Raw genomic sequence first — 20,222 nt, forward strand, 5'->3', positions numbered from 1 at the left:
GTAATCATTAGTCTACACTGGTTGTATTCCTTCAGAGAGGACATTGTTCTAGGCTAAACTTCCTACATGAATTAGCCATCAATGTGTCTTCCCCCACCCCCATCCGCCAAAATAGGTTCAGCTATGACCACTTATCTGTCCAGAGCCACTTGTCTATTTTCTTCCGTCTCACTCTCCTCTTGGCTAAGAGGCTCTTGCTTCTTTCACACAACCCAAAATATTTGATATGTTGGGAGGTTCTTGTACTGGGAATATAATTTCAATCCAAAATAAATTGTAACTATAAAGTGATAACACTTGACCCTTGACTTTCTTGAATGTCTTACAACTTGCTTCCCTAAACCAGTGGCTCTCAGACCAGGCACATCACTATCGCTCGGAAACTTGTTAGAAATGTGAATTCTCAGCACCCTGCCCCCTGCAGTCTAACACATTCTTTAGGTGATTCTGATGCACACTAAAATTTGAGAAGCACTGCCCTAATCAGTTCCTGATCATTGTAAAACAAATCAAAGTGTATGCCCTTTCATGGAAGATTGATCATTTAATCTTCATTGTAATTGGAATTACAGTCGTGGTTATAAGTAACAGAGAACAAGGCATGGAATGGATGAGCTTTGGATTTCTATAGTATGTCCCAGCTCTTTATTCCCCTTGACTCCTGTCTCTTTCCCCCTTCCTCAGACTCTGAGTTCATGGCTCCTTAATTCGATTCCTTCTGAATAGCCTCCACCAGCTCTTGGCTAATTTAATGTGAAATCATCTCGAGTGTTACAGTGCTTGCTTGCTTTGGCTCATCTGCAGCGTCAGGTGGCTGAGTGGATTGGAGAGCTGAGTCTCTATTAGGCATATCCCTATCATGCTTCTGCTCTAATCCTTAGAAGTCTCTCAGGAGGACTATAGTTCAAATAATTAATCACTGATACATCAATGCACAGAATTTTGTAGCTGATTGTGAACGGGAAATCCGCTTCATAGCTTCTTTCATTTGCAGGATTCTTTACATCTAAATTTCTTGTAAACTTCCTTGTGCATTTCTGTTTTATCCTAAGCTGCTTCTGACTCTGCCTCCCGCCAGCACCCTCCAACTTTGGGCCCAGAAGTTGAGAAGAATTACTTCCCATTGCTCTTGCTTTTGCATCAAGGCCAGAGAGCCAAATCTCTGGGCTATGGCAATGAATTTTTTCCAGTAAGTCAGAATAAATATAGCTCACATTGGAAAACCATTTTCCAAACTGAACATTGTCACAGAATTGTTGCTTTTCACTCAGTCAAAAGACACATTAAAGTTTTCTGTAACTGATGTGTTTGTGTTATGTAACAAGTATTTTATCAGGTATTTTGGGGGTAAAAACAAAAACACAGGATCTAGTGGTGATTTCAGTGAACAAGTAAATAATTACAAATATAGTTACAAAAATGGAGAATATATGTGGGTAGTTGGGATTCATAGGGAAAGGAGCACCCAGATTGATGGGTTATCCACCAATAGAGTCCACAAGAGAAGGCATGTTCTGTTTGGTTTGCCTTGGTAAAGGGAGATGGAAAGCAAATGCCAATTTCTTGCCCTATGACAGCAGTTCCTTATCCTAAGGAAGTAATTGGCAAGGTGCTTAGAAGTTATTCCTCATGGCATTATCTATAGTAGTAGAACTATTCACATAAATATCTAGCAACAGGGGATTGATTAAAATTTTGAACCATACATCCATATATGATGGATTTCCTGTGCACCTATTAAAAGTGGTACTTAAACGGTGTTTTTTTTCTTGAAATAGGATTATGAGTCATTGTTTCCTGAAATTTTTTTCTGATGAACTTTGTAATCAGAACAGCAAAAACTATAAAATCAGTGTCATTGAGGCAGTTTTGAGTAATCTACCTTCCTGAGGCCCTATCCTCTCAAGAAGACTTTAGACTGCTCATAACCACTACTACCCAGCTCTAATAATCCTTTGATCCTAATCTGGGATAGTAGAGTTTGCAACTGTGTTCCCCTCATCTCTAGCATTGAGTTGGTTGTTCTCTGCCTTGGAGTTCATAATCCCTTTCCTCCCCCTTACCTGCCACTGTAGATCCATTGTCATACCCAGCACAATAGCATGTATCTTCATTCCTTCCTTATATTAGCTTTAGACGAGATGATGACCTAGAGTTCTTTGTTATTTGCTTCACTGCCTCATAATACCTACTGACTCATTAGTCCGCCCACCTCCCCTTGACTGTAGGACTCAATTTCCTCATTTCCAGTCTATGCACTCTCAATCTTTTCTGTCTTTCTCATCGGTAATTCTCAATTACATTGAAAATGCAGCTGCATAATCTTAGTGCCCCCACCTACCATTCTGCACCTGCTCCTGCTCTGTATCTTATTTTCTGAGTGGTGCCACCCTGTCGCTTCCTCCAGCTCCCAAGTAACCAGGAGAAAGGCCGAAGGAATTGTTTATTGCTACCATGTTTCACTGATGTCTGTATTTGGTTCATGCTGAAAAACCATATTCCTCAATGTGACCTGAAACACAATGAGAAGTGCTTCGGAAGTTTACCAAGTTTTTTACTCTTTGTTCTGCTTTTCAACCTTTTCTGTTGGAATTAATTTTTCTTCCTACTGAGTCATTTTTCCTTGATTATTTAATAGGTGTTCCTTACAATCCTGCTACTTGGTTCTGTTTTATTGTTTACAGTGGTCAAGCTTTGCTCCCACTCACTGCCACTTAGATTCTTGCCCATCTCTTGTAGTTCCAGGAGACTTGATGTGGGATGTGATGCTTTTGTTCTGGATGCTCCTCTGCTTCTGTTTCTGCTCAGAGGCCAGTCTTTAGCTGCTTCTGCCCTGGAGCATAGATCATGAAACTGTGTATCTGGGAAAGCCAACAAACCTCATTTTTTTGCCCTACAGTCACTTTGGCATTGTCACTGTCTCCAATTTGAAATATTTTCACTGTTCCGCATTAATCAGTCAGTTACCAAGCATTTGTTCAGCTTTACTTGGCACACTTTAATTGAACTAGATGGCCCTGAATTTATAATTATGGAAAGATAGCTGTCTGTTAAAATACTATAATAAAGATTAAGGGCAGAATACTAACCCTCAAGGGACCTGTAGTCTAGATACAGAAATAAAGATTAACACATGAAACAATTTGAAAGTCATATGTTGCAGTTTATAATTACATGCTGAACTGAGTGATACCTGCACACAACACACACACACACACACACACATTATACTACCATTTCAAAGGAGTTCACCTAGGACCCCAGGTTAAAAATTTCTGTTCTCCCAACTATTTTACGATTGTAGTGAGGTTGTGGCTACAGATAGGTGATACTCTTTTCATTGTAGTGTTGACCTAGAACAACAAGTGGAATCAAGGGGAAAGCAAAAGCCCAGGGGACACACATAATTAATTACTGGCATGTAGGGGGCATGAAGAAAATGGGCCTAATTGGATTAGGAGTAATGTGGAAATCATGTGGATATGTAAACTGGGGCCACATGGTCGAGACCCATGAAAGCCAAGTCTGAGAATTTCCACTTGATTTCACAAGCTGGTTGGTTGTCTTTGTTTGGAGTATAAGTAGGGGAGGAAAATGATGATGTCGATTTTTATTGAGAAGTGATGTGGGAGTGGTGTGCAATATTCAGTCAAAGTGTGTGTAGCTTCAAAAGGGATTGCATGAATTTAGTTAAGATATCCCTGATGTTATCTTGAAATAAATTGGTGAGGGCCTAGACCAAGAGGGTTCCAAAAGGGCCAAGTGAGCACAATTATGAAAGAAGAATGTTGGATGTTGGGGTAAAGCAAAAGCAGAGTGAAGAGACATCATGGAGGCTGCTTACCAGGAAAGCATTGTTAAAAGGAAGTTACAGATGAGGAGACGTGTTCAGGGGTCCTAATCTCTCTCAGCTCTGTAGCCTCCTTTCCCCGTCATCTCCCTGCCACCTATTGCATGCCATTTCTGCTTTCTGTCATTTTATTTTCTTTAGATCTCTTTCATGTATGAAAGTAGTTCTTTTTGTAAAACTCTGTTGAAAGCTCCTGCTCCCTCAGAAAATTCACAGATACTTTAGGGTGGATCAGAGATATTTCTAGCATCTGAGCTGACGTGCACTATGTCCCCAGGTTAAGAATTCCTGATGTGATAACTATTTTATGATTGTGATAAGGTTGGATCTAGCCATAAATCCTTTGAATTTCTTTGTAAGCTCACAAAAATATTTGTTCAGAATAACAATCTACTGTCGTTGAATTGGCAGTAAGATGGAGGCCTGTTTGTTGGCACGGGAGGGACTGTGACTGCGGTGCTCAGACATCCAGCTTGGAGAGCATTGGTCTTGAGATTTTCTGGATGAACTAGAGACTGCAAACCTAAGAGCAGACTCTTCCTTGGCATGAAATGTGTGCAGATTCTAATCTTGTGCTGAGGCCATGGAGATGATCTCCCTGCAAAAATGTTGTCTGCCTTTGCAAAGTTGTAGGTTTTTTCTTCTAGAGGAAAAGCAGCAGCTAATATGTGAGAGTTTCGAGCTTTGCTGTTTAAAGAAAGCAGAGTTTTCCAGTGGTCTGAATAGAGTTCATCTTCCCACACTGTAGTACCATACAGCCCTGTGGCTCCTAGAAACAACCTAGAAAGCTGTGTTTTCATCTTTCTGTTGCCCTGCCACTCCTTGGCATGTGTGTGGATATATACTTTCTTTCCCTGACTGGTGATGATGTTTGTCAGTTATTGACACTGGTAGTCTTTGCTGTCTTTGTACTGCTGCATCTTGGAGAAGAAAGCTGCTGAGAGGAGTAGGCTATGTTCTGCCCCACTGTTTCCTTTCTGCTGGCTGGCCTGCACACTAGCCTGCCTTTGTGAGGAAGCGGCTGTTAAGCAGACACAGCAGGAGAAGTTTAGAAGTCAGGAGTTTCATTCCTTGCCTAATGAAAAGGGATGCAGACTTGTGGCTGAGGCCAACAGGGAAAGGCAGTATGGGGAGCAGGAATTAGTGTTTGCTCTGTGGAGCAGATAAGGTGGAAGCCAGCCTGCGGTCTGCCTACCTTCCCATGTCTCAAAGACAGAGCTCCACAAATCTATCCCAGAGAAACTGGGTTATGTGAGATGCAGAGGAGAACCCCACTGAGAAGTGGTAGCAAGGCAGTACACCTTGTTTTCAGCAGAGCCTGGGTCTCCATGTCATGTATCCTCATAGCCTGGAATAAAGATGGTACTCTCCCTTTGCAGATAGTGGTGGCAGGCCTCCCCTCTTGGAATTTGCTCCTCTCCTCTGTGAGATTCATTCCTGAATTCCTACTTCCCCCAGATACTCTTTCGTGGAGAATCTCTTGCTGTGGCATCAGACTTGTGACAAGCAGAGGGAGGTTTTCTGGAAATGGCTCACTCAGCATCGTTCCTGCAGCAGTGTGGGAACCAGAAGTGAAGAAGCCTCTGCACAGGGAAAGGAGACCTGTGCTGCCGCAGGTTATTCTGCTCTTTTCTCACAGATCCCTCCCACTTTGCAGCCTGGGTCTAGTGTGCTACTAAGAGGCTAGAGTGCTTCCTGGGTGGGCATATTTGAATTTAGTGGTTAACTACCTATTGTTAACTTTGAATTTTGCTTCTCTTTCATGAAGAATTAACAAAATAAGGGCTACTTCTCAGTTTACATATGCTGGTACAGTGCTACTTTCTTGCTTCCTCTTGAATGTGCCAGAAATTGATAAGAGTTTAACAGTAATATTTTAAGTGTGAAAAAATTGTCTTTGAACGTTTTCCCAAAATTTATGCCAGAACACAAATAAGTATCTGATAATATGCTTTTTAGAAGCAGGGTAGAGCATGAATAATATTAATACTAAGACCATTTTAAAGAATCATTTTGCTGTTATTGTTTTAAATGTCATATGTATACTATTATCCACGTCTTCCAGTTTCTGATGTTAGTTTTTTCCTCTTTGGTAGCGTATTTAGTTGTGGTTAAGTCCTAGATTTCTGCTTATAGCACAGAGCTACTTTGTGGTCACAGAAAGAAAGCAGAATTATAGTTTCCCACCTCACTGCTTTTGCCTCGAGGATCTTTGCTTTCTAACTTACTGCTCAGGCCCTGTTCTTTTTTTCTCATAGTACATGAGATGTTCTCCAGCCCCAGGAAAGGCCACAATTTCAGCAGTGCTCTAACTTGAACCTGTCTGTTTACAGAACAGATCTATTTATTTTGGTTGTCCTTGTTGTTAAAGGATAAGGCTGTAGGCATTTAGTGCCCCATAGGACCTGCAGAATGCTTTGCAGGCCTTGCCTTGAAGGAGGTGAGGTATGGTCAGGGTGGGAAGGAGCTTGTCTTGCATCACAGAAGCTTCAGTCTTACGGCTGCTCCTTCCAATTTGCAGTAGCAAAATAAGGAGAGCCTGTTGGTGGCAGAGGAGGTTATAGAAATAGGACATGCAAGATGTAAGCAGGGCTTTGGGGAGGTGGAAGAGTTGGATTGTTAGTTGGCTTCTAGCCACCAACCTCTAGTCTTTTACTGGTAGCTTGCAAATCCCAAAGGGTGAGTGGCAAAGCTTGAGAATCGCCTTGGTTGCTGACCACTACCAGGATCCCTGAATGATAAATCACTAGAGGAAATTGTAAAGGGAAATATTTTTACCCATTTACAATTTCTTTTACTTTTTTTTTTTGAGACAAAGTCTTGCTCTTTCGCCCAGGTTAGAGTGCAGTGGAGTGATCTTGGCTCACTGCAACCTCCACCTCCTGAGTTCAAGCAGTTCTGCCTCAGCCTCCCAAGTAGCTAGGATTACAGGTGTGTGCCACCACACCTGGCTGATTTATTTTATTTTATTTTTTTTTGAGATGGAGTCTCTCTCGCCCAGGCTGGAGTGCAGTTGCGCAATCTTGGCTCACTGCAACCTCCACCTCCCGGGTTCAAGGAATTCTCCTGCCTCAGCCTCCCGAGTAGCTGGGATTCCAGGTACCTGCCACCACACCCAGCTAATTTTTTTGTATTTTTAGTAGAGACAGGGTTTCACCATATTGGCCAGGCTGGTCTCAAACTCCTGACCTTGTGATCTACCTTCCTCGGCCTCCCAAAGTGCTGAGATTACAGGCTTGAGCCCCCACACCCAGCCCGATTTTTTTTTATTTTATTTTTTGTAGGGACAGGGTTTCGCATATTGGCCAGACTGGTCTCGAACTCCTGACCTCAAGTGATCTGCCCGCCTTGGCTTCCCAAAGTACTGGGATTACAGGTGTGAACCACTGCACCCGGCCCCATTTGCCATTTCTAAAGCTGAAGCCCTTGATTCAAATTCAGAAGAAGCCACGGGATTCAAGGAGCTTGGAAGTGCTGTCTTTCAGTTAGCATTTCAGATAAGAGTGAGAGAGAGGGTATGATTTTTATTTTCTTGTTAATTCAGTACTTGCCCTCATCAAGGAGTAGAAACTAGATAGTAGGAAAACTTTTGTTGTTTCTGAACCAGAAGCATTTCAGATGAGTTGAGTGAGGGACACATCCCCTGGGATGAAGCAAGGGGGCTCAGGTGGATGATAAAAGCCCAAGTGTGAAAGAAATAAGACTATTCTACCTAGCACTGAGCAAAACCCACCCAATTTGGCTTATGAGGGTTTACTTTAGAAAGTGATGACCCTGAAAGTAACCCCTGCAGAAGTGTGTCCTCTACCTCTGCTCCTTGAGTGAGTTCCTGAAAGGGAAGAGGTGGAAATGTGGCTGACAGTGTGAGGGTCCCTGACATTTGGCCCTGGGCTGGGCAGCTTTCTCAACACTTCCTCTGGAATTCAAAAACCCTAAAAAGTTGAGTCTCCATAGACAAGATTTGTGGGAACATCCCCTAATCTCTAGTTCTCTATCTCTAAGCTCAGAACTCTTACCTGCTGATGTCTGCAGGCTGGCAGTACACAAGAAGGCCTTATCCAACAGTGTACAGACCAAGTAATTCACCAGTCAGCTTTTATTCTGTGGTCCTTCATTGTTATACCAGTGATCGTACCTAGTGAGGCGTAGGCTTCTGTCCCCAGAGCTACCACTCAGAGGACTGGGTGATTAGAGCAAACCAACCCATGGCTGAGGTTGGCAGAGTCCCAGAGTTCCCTGTTAAATCCCCTCTTATTATAGCTAAGACTGATTGAAAATGAGACTTAATGTCAGTTATGTAGCATTTGCTAATTTTTTTTCCTACTGTTACATGACTTTTCTCTACAGTATTGCTCCATTCAGGGCAACTTATCTTTTTACCTGGGAGGAACTTATTTCCATTAGAATTGGAACACTAGCCACATATTTTGCATTTAAAATGTTTCATGTGATTAAACACGGAAAGAAATGTTATTACTTCTGTTTCTTAGGCCTGTGCTCCTCTAACTGATTCTTCTTTTGTGCCTGGAACAATGCCTTTAATTTGAAAACAAGTAAGGCAGCCCTCTGATTACTAAGCACACTGTTAGTGGAAACTGGCAGCCAAGTGCTGGTAACAGGGCTTAAGAGAAGAGCAGCTTTATAATCCCCCCTCCACCAAATCCTCTTGCACAGACTGGCTACTCAGCAGTGTACAGTGTGACTTGTGTAGTCATACATCCCCACTTTAACAACCCTCGCTTCTCTCTTCATTTTTGCACCCTCCTACCCCTTCCCATTGTGATTCTTGTTTTAATCGGTTTTTCTCTTCTTCCTTAACAGAGCTATTAAGAATGGCAAAGGATTGCATAGCAAGAAGGAAGTGCCTATCCACCGTGTTGCAGATATATCTGGGGTGAGTCGAGTCCCTGAATCAAGCTGTGTGGCTCAGAGGCTCAAGAGCGTGTCTGCATATTTGCTGAAGGACTTCAGCTTATGTATTTTCTCTAGCTCGCTCCTTTTCAGGCACTGACTGTGACTTTTCCCCACCCCGGGGCATCTACTTAGGTATCTATAGGGAGCCTGTTTTATTATCTGGAAAAGCAGAATTAACTTCATTCTTTTTCTTTACCTGAACTGTTTCTATGTTGCTTTTTCATTTTTAATTACTGTATTTTGAGTTTGGAAGGTAGTTCTTCTTGGTTGTATTAAAATAAAATTGCCTCTTTTTAAAACCCCTGTCCAGTTCTTGCTGTGAGTGGGAAGTCTTAGTAGCAAAAGGTCAAGTATAGATTTCAGGAGAAGTATATGAATTCATCATGATTTCCTCATGACCTCTTGTTCCTCTGCTTGCCTGTAAGTGGGACAGAATGGAGAAATGTATGAACATCCTTTGAGATAATTACATATAGATAATAAAGAAGAATCAATGGCACCAATATTTTAGAGCTCCCAATAGGCTGTGTCCAAATGTTTCTTTAACTGTAAGGACTTTACCTTTGAATGTTTAGGGTCTCTTTGGCTGCATAGATCCGTTTGATAGTTGAGCTAGTTTATTCATTTAGTCAACAAGTATTTGTTGAGTGCCTGCTGTATGCCAGGAATTGCTCTAAGCTCTGAGAATATAACAATGAAGAAAACTACTGAAGTCCCTGCATTCAAGTTGGAAAGGGAGGCAGTTGCAATGTCAGGTAGCGAAAACTACTGTGAAGAGAAGTAAAACTGGCCGAGGGGATAGTGAGTGGTGTAAGTGCTGATTTTGATCAGGTGGCCAGGAAAGGCACTCTCTGTTGCCAAGACACATACCATCCATTTCAACACCACAGTCACTAATGGTTAAAGAGAGGATCAGGTCTGTGCCATGCATAGGGAAGATGCCCAGGGGAGATGAAGCCCAGGGTAGATGGAAGGAGGAAGAGCTGGTAAATCTTAGCTTAGGCACTCAGGGAATTTGCCTTGGGCCCTGAGAAGAAAATACTAGTATAAACAAAAGTGCTAGAGCTCAGCCTAGGCTGCAGGAGAGATGAATCAGAGTGTATTATCTTCCTGTTATGTGGTGTGCCCAGGCCTGGTGGAGGCTTTTTCTGTTGCTCCTGGTGATTGCTTGCTACAAATGTGTCTGGCAGGCTCCCCCTTGCCTAGGTGTAGTGGTTTCCTGCTCATCTTAAACAATGGGACTCTGTTGAGCTTTTCTTTCTCTATAACCAGTCACTGCAGATTATAGGTTAAACAATGTTACCTACAACATGTTAACTGGACTTCAGTCTACAGGTTGGGGCCTCTGTTAAGTGGGTGAAGTAAAGTGATATGCACTTTTTGTGGCTTAGAATCCTGAGAAGCCCAGAAACCTGTAGCTAATGGCCTTTGAGCCACAGGTAACTATGGTGTATCTGCTAATGTTCATTTTTAACAGGTGTAACTCATCCAGTGCGATGTTACTTGGCCTGTTTTCTGTGTAGCTTACCCAGCTGAGTTATTCTTTGCATATATATTGCTAATATTTTTATGTATGTGCATGGCATTCTCAACAATGCTTTCCTTAATATTTGTCTTTTGGTAAAGCTGTTATAGTAATAAAAGGGCAAATTTTTGGTGGTTCCTCAGCAGGAGAAAAAAGTTATAAGTGCTTTGGAAAATGCAATGAAAACCCGTCTACACAAAGGGCCAAATATGCCCATCCAAAAACTTATGTGGGGCCCATACTCCAGGGCCTTCCAGAAGCTGATTTCAACCTTAGGGATAGGCTCTCTCCTTGGGCCCACCTGAGTTCATTTCTAGTTCTGATTTGGCACCAACAGTGAGGTGAAGCAACTCTAAGGAGGTTTTGAGGTTCAGGCACACCAGTCTCAGGGTTGTCCTCTCCACACCCCTCAGTGTGGTATCCTAAAGATCTTTATTGCTGTCTCTGAATCTTATGCTGCCTCCTGCCTTGATGATTTCTGATGCTTTTTTTATTCCTTTATTTCCGTTGTCATTAGCAGTGGGTCTTGTGAAACTTGTCTTCATTTATTTATTTACTTTTGTTCCTACCCCACCAATTCCCCCTTAAACTCTAGCTCAGTTTCATACCAATTTTTATTATCTTTTCTGTCTCAGTATTGGAGGATTGGTTTGCTCTTAAGTTAAACATAAATGCCAATTAAATTTCTCTCAGTCACCACATAAATAAAAGAGTAAAGCTTGAGCAAGTGGGAGACTGAAAGTGAAAAAGCTGCTCGATTTAAATGGATGTCAGATATGACCTTGTCTGCCTGAATCACAAATTATTCACCTAAGAGTGCAGTTTTTTTGGTGCCCTCTTTAATAGAGGAGTTTTGTCTTTTCCCACCTTCTTCCCTTCTTTCCATCACAGTGTTAAGTCTGTGTGTATGTTGGGTGCCCTTGTTCAATTTAAGTGAGATGTATGGGTTTTCTGCTTCCTGAAGCATGCTGGCAATTTTGCTGTCTGTGGGACAGGTGTGAGGTCAGATGGGCAGACGGCTTACAGCCAGATGAAAAATAAACAGGGAAAAAGACAATGTAATGCACATATACGTAATGGTTTCACAGAGGTTTCTTAATTGTTTTTTAATCTTTAACTGTGTTACCTACTGCCCCAGATTGATCCCCCTCTTAGTTGCAGGCCATGATAAATGGAGGTTTTTGTTGAGCTGACAGTGTAGGCAATATCTGCCAAAATAATTTACAATGAACTGGTGTTTGTGCATAATATCTCTCACCACCCTCCTCTCCATCCCAGTACACATTGTTGGTGAGGAAAAAGACATGCTTAAGTGCACATTCTGTCTCCTAAACACTCTTAAGAAATGTGTTGTATGGAAGAGATTATATCATAATGGTGGAGCAAATAACCTGTAATTTTGTTCTAGTGTTAACTGCCTCCATTTTAGGGGTTGAGTTTCTACTCCTTTTCCATGATCTCTTCTCTTGCTGTTTAAAAAATGATTTCACAGAGTAAAGGTCAGAGTGCGTTAAAATGCTTTTGTATGAAGACCTAGCAAATACAAGACCTGCTTGGCTGATTGCTTATGGTTGGAAGTGACTCATCTAAGCACAGGAGTGTGAGGTTTATGGCTTAGAACGTAAGATACCAGCCTCTGTAGTGGCCAAATAAGCCGGCCTTTTTGTTTGTTATTACAGATGGGTTTTGATGTCAAGGTCAACTGAGTTTTGAGTTGTCCATAAGATGGACAGAACATCTGCATATAACACCAACTGAATGAACCCCCAGTTTGTCTAGGGCTTTGATAAAAAATTTGGCCCTCTAGACCGGGCGTGGTGGCTCACACCTATAATCCCAGCACTTTGGGAGGCCGAGGTGGGAGGATTGCTTAAGGTCAGGAATGCAAGACCAACTTGGTCTTGTAGTCAGTGTAGTGAGACCCCATCTCTACCAAAAAAAAAATAATAATAAATGTGTGTGTGTGTGTGTGTGTGTGTGTGTGTGTGTGTGTGTGCGTGCGTGTTGACCCATCTGCGTCTCTTACACCTATTTTTAGGGTAACCACTAAAGGAAGAAAATTACATACTCCCAAGCTGGTACCTTAGATCCTGAAGAAGTTACTGGTTTTTTGTTATTTCCAATTTTTCACAGAGTAGGAACTGGGCTATTAGAAGTACCAGCCACTGCTGCCATTTCTATCATAGTCTAGTTTCCTTTCAAGCCAGGGTGTTCCAGAGTGTGTAGAACCAGCTGAGAATTTGACCGACTTGGTACTAGGTCTTACTTGATTTGAAGGATGGTTCTGTGGTGACTGACTTCATACATACATGTTTTCATTATTAGTTGGTTTTGTTTTTCATTGATCCTGTCTGAGCTCCCTCCCTCACCAGCATAGAAAAAATTGGAGTATGTGTGTCAGTGTTCTTTATCTCAGGTTTCTCAGCTGTTCTTTATCTTAGGTTTATTATTGTTTTTGCTGTAGCCTGCTCCGTAATAAATACAATCTCCTGCAGATACAGAGTGTAAAACAGGCAATAAAATGGGGCTGGTACATGGCTTACTGTTGTTCTGGTAGATCAGACAAATCAATTATGGTTCTGAGATTAGAGAGAGCTCCCCACTCCTCAAGTTGCAGCCAGCCCTGCGAGTGCTGATTTTACCATTTACCTTTACCTCCACTTCTCCATCTTCCTCTTATATGGGAGTAGGACTCAATGAGTCATAGTGTATATCTGAGTTTTCTTCTCTGTCCTTTTCCTTTTGTGTCTGTCCTCTGTGCATGAGGAGTTACGATGTTTGTTTGATGGTACAAGAAGATAGCATCCTCTTCAGTCTTATTTCTGAAAGTCCCAGAATAGGGATTGTCTTCTTTTGAATATATTCTGCCATTTCATATTATGTAGTCCTGACAGCTCCTCTGTTAATTTCACTATTACAGTATTTACTCTCTTAATCCATGGGTCTTTTTAATCTGTTAACTGCTGCTGTGCTCCTTTGGACGTTTAATCACATCATGGCTTGGTTTCATGCTCATGTCACATAGCACTTTTTTATAACCACCTTTCTCCGTGACTGATTTTGTTAGAAATACGTAGTATTTCTGATTTTTTTTTTTTTTTTAAGGATACGGAGTCTCACTTTATCACCAAGGCTGGACTGAAAGTACAGTGGCACAGTCATAGCTCACTGTGGCCTTTCACTCCTGGGCTCAAGTGATCCTCCTGACTCAGCCTCCTGAGTAACTGGGTCTACAGGTGCACACCATCACACCCACAGGATCTTGCTATGTTGTCCAGGCCAATCTGAAACCCCTGGCCTCAAGTGATCCTCCCACTTTGGCCTCCCAAAGTATTGCTATTATAGGCATGAGCCACCACCCTAGCCTAAAAATTAAGCCATGGTTTGGAATGATCCAGTGACTAGCTTTGGGGAAGGTGCAGGGCACAGGGGAAGAAGGTCAGACATTTGGGGCCCTGTTATTCATGAAACGAAGTCTTACAGAGTTGACCAGTAGGATTCTGACTTGCTAATGTGAAGGATTGAAGTGTTCCTTTAAAACAGTTAGATAAGATTAAATCAATAGATAAGAAATAGATTGGTAGACAGGGTTGGATTTTCTCCAGCATCTGCTCCTGACCTCTGCCTTCAGTTTCTGGTTTTCATTGCCCTCTTAAACTTTAATAGCACTGTCATCCTTTCTTTGAGGTTTCTGTAGGTGTTACCTTTCCTTAGCTCTTTATTAATATTTAGGCCTTGATGGAAGCATAAGAAAAAAATTATTACTCTTTTTGGCTAAAGAGAGTTTTAAAAAGCCCAGGCACGGTGGCTCACGCCTGTAATCCCAGCACTTTGGGAGGCTGAGGTGGGCGGATCTCCTGAGGTCAGGAGTTCAAGACCAGCCTGGCCAACATGGCAAAACCCCATCTCTACTAAAAAATACCAAAAAAATTAGCCAGGCGTGGTCGCGGGCACCTGTAATCCCAGCTACTTGGGAGGCTGAGGCAGGGAGAATTGCTTGAACCTGGGAGGCAGAGGTTGCAGTGAGCTAAGATAGCATCACTGCATTCCAGCCTGGGTGACAGAGTGAGACTCCATCTCAAAAAAAAAGAGAGAATTAAAAAAAGAAAAAAGTGGTTTGCCTGGTAAGTCTGAAGAAGGTAAAAGGAGCAAAATCACCCAGGGGCTTTATGAGTTAGGTCTGTGTTAAATTGCAGTTTTTCTTATATGTTTTCTGGCCCACCTAGTTTAGATTTATTTTTCTTACCCTCATATGATTCTAATGTTCCTTTCAGCTTTCTGTTTTTTCTAGTCTCTGGTATTTGATGGCACAAATGCTCTCTGAGTGTATTTGTTTTTTGTTGTTTTAAATAGCCCTTCCCTTTTTTACCCCACTTGGCTAAAATCATGGCCCTACATCATGTTCTCACGTCTCTCTTGCCAACTGCAGTCTAAGTTATTGTACAGATGGCACAACATCAAGGCCTATGGTTCTGCCGGGTGGGTTTCTGTGACCTGGAGGGGTTGCCTAGCACTGGAGCTTCATTCACACAGTAGCTGCTGGCTCCACTGCTGGGCTCTGCATTTGGTATCCGAGAAAATCCCAAAGGAACTCTGGAAGAGCCAGCTCACTGTCTGCAGAACTTGCTCTCCAGAGCAGGCAGTGTGTCCTCTCTAAATATGGTTGGCCCCTTGCCTGGAAGCCATGGTTGGTGGGAGTGTTGGGTTATCCTGGTGGCTTCCTTGCCTCCCTGTTGTGTTTCGTAGCTCAAGTTGTCACTAATTTAGGAAAAGCTATTGCTCTATTTCTTTCTTCTTCTTTCTTCAAGCAAAGTTTATTGAACTCTAGTTGGACTACAATGTACAGGTGACTGGCTTGGATCCTCACTGCACAGAAACATGCCATCACCTCTGTGGCACACAACCTCTGATGCCAAAGTGGCAGCCACCTCGTAAGTTTCTCCCAGACTTTGGAAAAAACTTCAAACTCTTTCTCTTTCTTTTCTTTTCTCTTATATTTTCAATTTAATTTTTTATTTCAAAAAAATAGAGATGGGGTCTCACTTTGTTGTCCAGGCTTGGTCTCAAACTCCTGGGCTCAAGTGATCCTCCCACCTCAGCCTTCCAAAGTGCTGGGATTGCAGGAGTGAGCTACCATGGCTGGCCTCTTTTCTCTCTCTCTTTCTCTCTTTTGTTGAGATGGAGTCTCCCTCTGTTGCCCAGGCTGGAGTGCAGTGGCGCCATCTCAGCTCACTGCAACCTCTGCCTCCCAGGTTCAAGCAATTCTCCTGCCTCAGCCTCCTGAGTAGCTGGGATTACAGCTAGTTTTTGTATTTTTAGTAGAGACGGGGTTTCACCATGTTGGTCAGGCTGGTCTTGAACTCCTGACCTCATGATCTGCCCACCTTGGCCTCCCAAAGTGCTAGGATTACAGGCATGAGCCACTGCATCCGGCCCTCTTTTTTCTTTTCACCTCTTCTAAAGCATGTCTCTGCTAAGAGTTGGATGTTACTAAGAAGACCTTGATCTTGATTCTGCCAGAGAGTTGCTTCAGCCAGTTGCCCTCACCCTTATGATGGAAGACATAGCTTTATTGTGTTGGAGTTTTTTTGTACATGGTTTGTTTCTCTCTCTCTTTCTTTTATTTCTTTTTTAAGATGAGATCTTACTATGTTGCTCAGGCTGGACTCGAACTCCTGGGCTCAAGAGATCCTCCTGCCTCAACCTCCCAAGTAACTGGGACTTACAGGCATAAGCCACAACACCTGGCTGTCTATAGTTTCTTTGTTCATATGACAAAGTGGTTCTGTGCAACCACTTTCTGTTTTTTGAAACTCCCCTATTCAAATTTGCCAGAACTACAGGGCCATCCCTCTCTTAAATAAATTTGAAAGCATTTTTGATTTACATGGGAATTTTTTTCAAAATTTCATTGCAGCAGGTACCACAGTTAATGATGGTTGTGTTTCATTACCTCCTTTTGTAGATCTTAGTCCACTTTTTGACTGAGTTGTGTTGTTTTTGGAGGGCACCCAATTTAGGACATGGTTTCTCACTTCTCTTATTTAGCTTCATTTAGTTGGGCTGTTTTGCATCTTTGTAAATAGAGATGTAGAAATGTAGTCCTGAAGAGATACAATTGATTCCCACCCTGTAAGAGAAATGATTTCAAACTTTACATTTTTACTCCCTAGTTTGACTCTGTTTTTGCGTCTGTAGCAAATTCACCTCAGTATTCCTAGTAACTTATCTATATCTGTTCTTTAGTCTCTTTGAGCCTTTCTGGTTCCCTCATTAATTAGTGGGGTTAAAATGAAATTTTCTACATGAGTTTATTTTATATTTGAATAAGAGTCAAGACTTTACCTTATTGAAAATTATCTTTTAACAGGGGAAACAATTGTAGAAGCAAGAGAAATACAAAACCACATATATAGTGGGCAATAAAGGATTATAGAATTATATGCTTTGAAAATCTTAGTTTTGTTGCCTCCTCTGTACCTGGAAACATGAACAATAATTTGGTTGTGAAAGTTCTAAAAAAAAGAAAAATTTAGAAAGTGAATATGTCTCTTTCATCTGCATCATGTCTGGTTCCAAGTCTGTACCTTACTTGGTTTAACTTTTTATTCAGAACAGTCTTGTCTTGGAAAATTCAGGCACCAGAGCAGATAACCTTGAGGTAGGGAGCTAGGATTGGACTTTGAAAGCAGGGCACAGCTTCTTGTCCTTTGATATGAGTGTCCTAGCTCTGCAATTCAACACCTCAGAAAATGTTTGCTCAGGTGAGCTGCCCAGAGGTGGAGCACTGTTAAGAGACAGGGCTTCTTTATTTGTTCGTTCTTATATAACAAAAACATCTTCCTCCCAGTATAATCAGTAGCATGTCACTGTCGTGGATTCTATTATCAGGAAACTTTCTGCCATAAATTTTTCTAGTTTCCTTCTGCTTCCTTGTTTAACTGTGCCTTCACAAACAGGAGTGCATGCAAATGCACTCAGCATTTGCAACAGGGTCCTAGCTTTTAGTGAAGTGTACTGAGCTATAATGATTTTTGCCTTTCTTCTTTGTTCAAAGACATGAGAAAGGAAATTGAGGGAGTTAGGAACATTTTTTCCAAATAAAGTAGCATATTTTTCCAAAGAGAGTTCCTCTGGCCATAGATTTGGCTATAGCTGGTCCATGCTCTTCGGTTGTTCTCTTTCCCATTCTCTGGGTGTATGTAGATAACACTCTATGATTCTATTTCATGGGTCAAAATAGGTTAAATGAGCCCATTACAGGGATGATTGTAAGTATATTTTGGCAGCAGTTGACAAAATTTCAGATTCCCAGGTTGAGGTGTGTGATTGGATTGTCTGATCTGTCCCATGGCTGCTGAGTGATGTGATAAAATTTGAAATATTTCTGCATAGCCCCAGATTCACTCTCCACTTTACCATCATAACACTACTTAGCCTTGGATTGAACTCATTGTGTCCTGTGGCTATTGCTTATATAAACATTTCAAAGTAAGTAATTTCACTAACATAGACATTCTGCTTACTTGTATTTTAAGTCTTTATTTAGCATGCTTACAACATATTCCCTACAGACTATGTCGTACAGAATTTTGGACACTCCTTGCAGTGTTAACATCCAGATATTTTGAAATTAGAGCTCAGGGTTGCTTTGAAATGCCCTGGTCGTTTTCTGCCTCAGTTGTTCAGCAAATGGTGTTCTCAGGAAGAAATTATAGAATTCCTAATACAGTATCGAATTTGGAAGGGGCCTGAAAATGTAAGCTATTACCCAGATTTCTAAATTGGAGGAAGACCTGTGTTATATTGATTTGTATTACTGCAACATCCCCAGATACTTCACCCGCAGTAGAGCCCATTTATTTTCTTTAGATCATATTCATCTCCTCCACTACTTAAGGTCCTCAGTTGACTGACTCGGACTTCATTGTTAATTAGCATTTGTTGAATCACATTTCTTCTTTTTGCAATGCTGTCTCTTCTCCCCTGCTGGCCATGCCTTCTTCCCTGGCATATGTCTCTTCTTCCAGGTAATTTCTCCCTTTTTATCCCCATTGCCTTCTGATCATGCCCTTCTTCAACATTTACATAATCATATTACCATGATTTTGTGCTTGTTGATAAATTGATAATTTCATAAGTTGTTTAATATGTGTGCATTGGTTTTCCTTACTAGTTTCTAAACTCCTAAGAAGGGGATCTTTTTGTATCTCATTATAGTGCCCAGTTTACATTCAGTTTGCCAAGTGATGGGCTCAAACAGCATGAACTTGTATTTGGAGAAAAGTGCCCCATCCTCCAAGGTACAGGATTGGCTGTACTGGTTAGTAACTATAAGCGGGCTGGTTAGTAAAAGAACGCAGCAGAAAGGGTGCATGTCTTCTAGAATATAGTGGCAGTATGGGGTCATGATTATTAGCACTGGCTCTAACATTAGATTACTGGGGTTCAGTTGTGCCTCCATTGCTTATTACCTTGACGCCTTGGGGAAGTTATTTTTTCTTTCTGTACCTCAGTTTTCCCCTGTGGGAAATGGGTATGATAATGGCACTTACCTCATTGGATTGTGGTGTGATTGAATGAATTAATAAATGTAGCTGTTTTAAACAGTTGACGTAAGAGCTCAACAGAGAGCAGTGGTTCACATGCCGGTGTTCATTATTTTTTTTTGAGACAGGATCTCAGCTCTATTTCCCAGGCTGGAGTGCAGTGGCGCAATCTCAGCTCACTGCAACCTCTGCCTCCCAGGCTCAGGTGATCCTCCTGCATTAGCCTCCTGAGTAGCTAACTACATGTGTACCACTACGCCAGGCTAATTTTTTATTTTTTTGTAGAGATGGGGTTTTGCCATGTTGCCCATGATGATCTCGAACTCCTGGGCTCAAGCGCGAGCCACTGCACCCAGCCTGGTGTTCATTATTATTAAATTGCTTAGCAGTCTGCCTAGCACACAGAAAGTCCTCTGTAAATGAGAGCTGTCATTATCATCCTCAGTAATATTTACATTGCAAACTCTTCATCCAGTTCAGGTTCCAAATCCTACCGCTCCCTCTCCTGAGTTCTTTTACTGCCTCTTTATCTCTTTTTTGACATTTAACATATGCCATCTCTGTCTTGTTTTTTAAATGCATTCCTCATGTTGAATCAGTGAATGAATGATCAAACAATAAGTATTTATCAAGAGCTTTTCATATGCCAGCAAGAATGCTGAGTGTTGAGAATATATTAAACAAGACAGCTATAGTCTTTACAGGGAATACACAATTTGTTATATAATTACAATTGTAATGGGAGTACAGAGTCCTGGGAGAGTGTATACTGGTGGCCACAGCTTATTCTAAGTGGTCTGATAAAGTCCTTGAAGTGATTTCAAAGTGAGACCCAAAGAAGGAGTTAGCAGAAGATCTTGTTCAGGGCCAAAGGATAAAATGTTGTATACAAAGGTCCTGAGGTGGAAGATTGTTTGTGTTCACAATGGAAGACCAGTCAGCATTGCTGCAATGTGAGGATAGTAATGGGAGAATGAATAACTGAATAATTTGGACGTTATAGTCCTTGAAAAGGATTTTGAATTTTATCTGAAGAACAGTGAGAAATCTTTGAAATGGGAGTAGAATAATTAGAACAGCATATGTGTGTGTGTGTGTGTGTGTGTGTGTGTGTGTGTGTTTATGTGTGTATATGTATACATATATATATAGAGAGAGAGAGAGTTAGCTAGGTATATATCTATTAATTTTTCTTTTTTTCCATTGTGGCTTTTATTTGGAGATAGACTTGAAACAATGGTTAGGGGAGAATTTGCAGTTCACCTGGTGATTGCTGAATAGTGGCTGGAACTAGGATTGTGGCAATGGAGGCGGAAAGATAAATGTGAGATCTATTTTGGTATAAGAACTGGTAGAACTGAGTGGTTGATTGGATTGGGGTCAA

At 41.6% G+C, this 20,222-nt stretch overlaps 1 protein-coding gene across 2 annotated transcripts in view, besides 1 other annotated feature; it reads left to right on the plus strand.

Moving 5' to 3' along the window:
* SND1 (staphylococcal nuclease and tudor domain containing 1) overlaps positions 1-20,222 on the plus strand; it is a 440,400-nt gene that overhangs the window by 243,882 nt on the left and 176,296 nt on the right. For both annotated transcript variants that reach the window (NM_014390.4, XM_017011987.3), the window contains exon 14: positions 8,672-8,744. In NM_014390.4, the coding sequence (NP_055205.2) occupies positions 8,672-8,744 (73 nt within the window). The remainder of the gene's footprint in view (positions 1-8,671; positions 8,745-20,222) is intronic.
* Positions 4,495-5,028: an enhancer, noted in NCBI's record as "NANOG-H3K27ac hESC enhancer chr7:127540623-127541156 (GRCh37/hg19 assembly coordinates)". NCBI's record gives its function as "activates a minimal SCP1, AML or CMV promoter by ChIP-STARR-seq in naive H9 embryonic stem cells {active_cell/tissue: H9 hESC(naive)}" and the evidence as "EXISTENCE:reporter gene assay evidence [ECO:0000049][PMID:30033119]".

Source organism: Homo sapiens, chromosome 7 (assembly GCF_000001405.40).
Source record: "Homo sapiens chromosome 7, GRCh38.p14 Primary Assembly".
Lineage (NCBI taxonomy): Eukaryota > Metazoa > Chordata > Mammalia > Primates > Hominidae > Homo > Homo sapiens.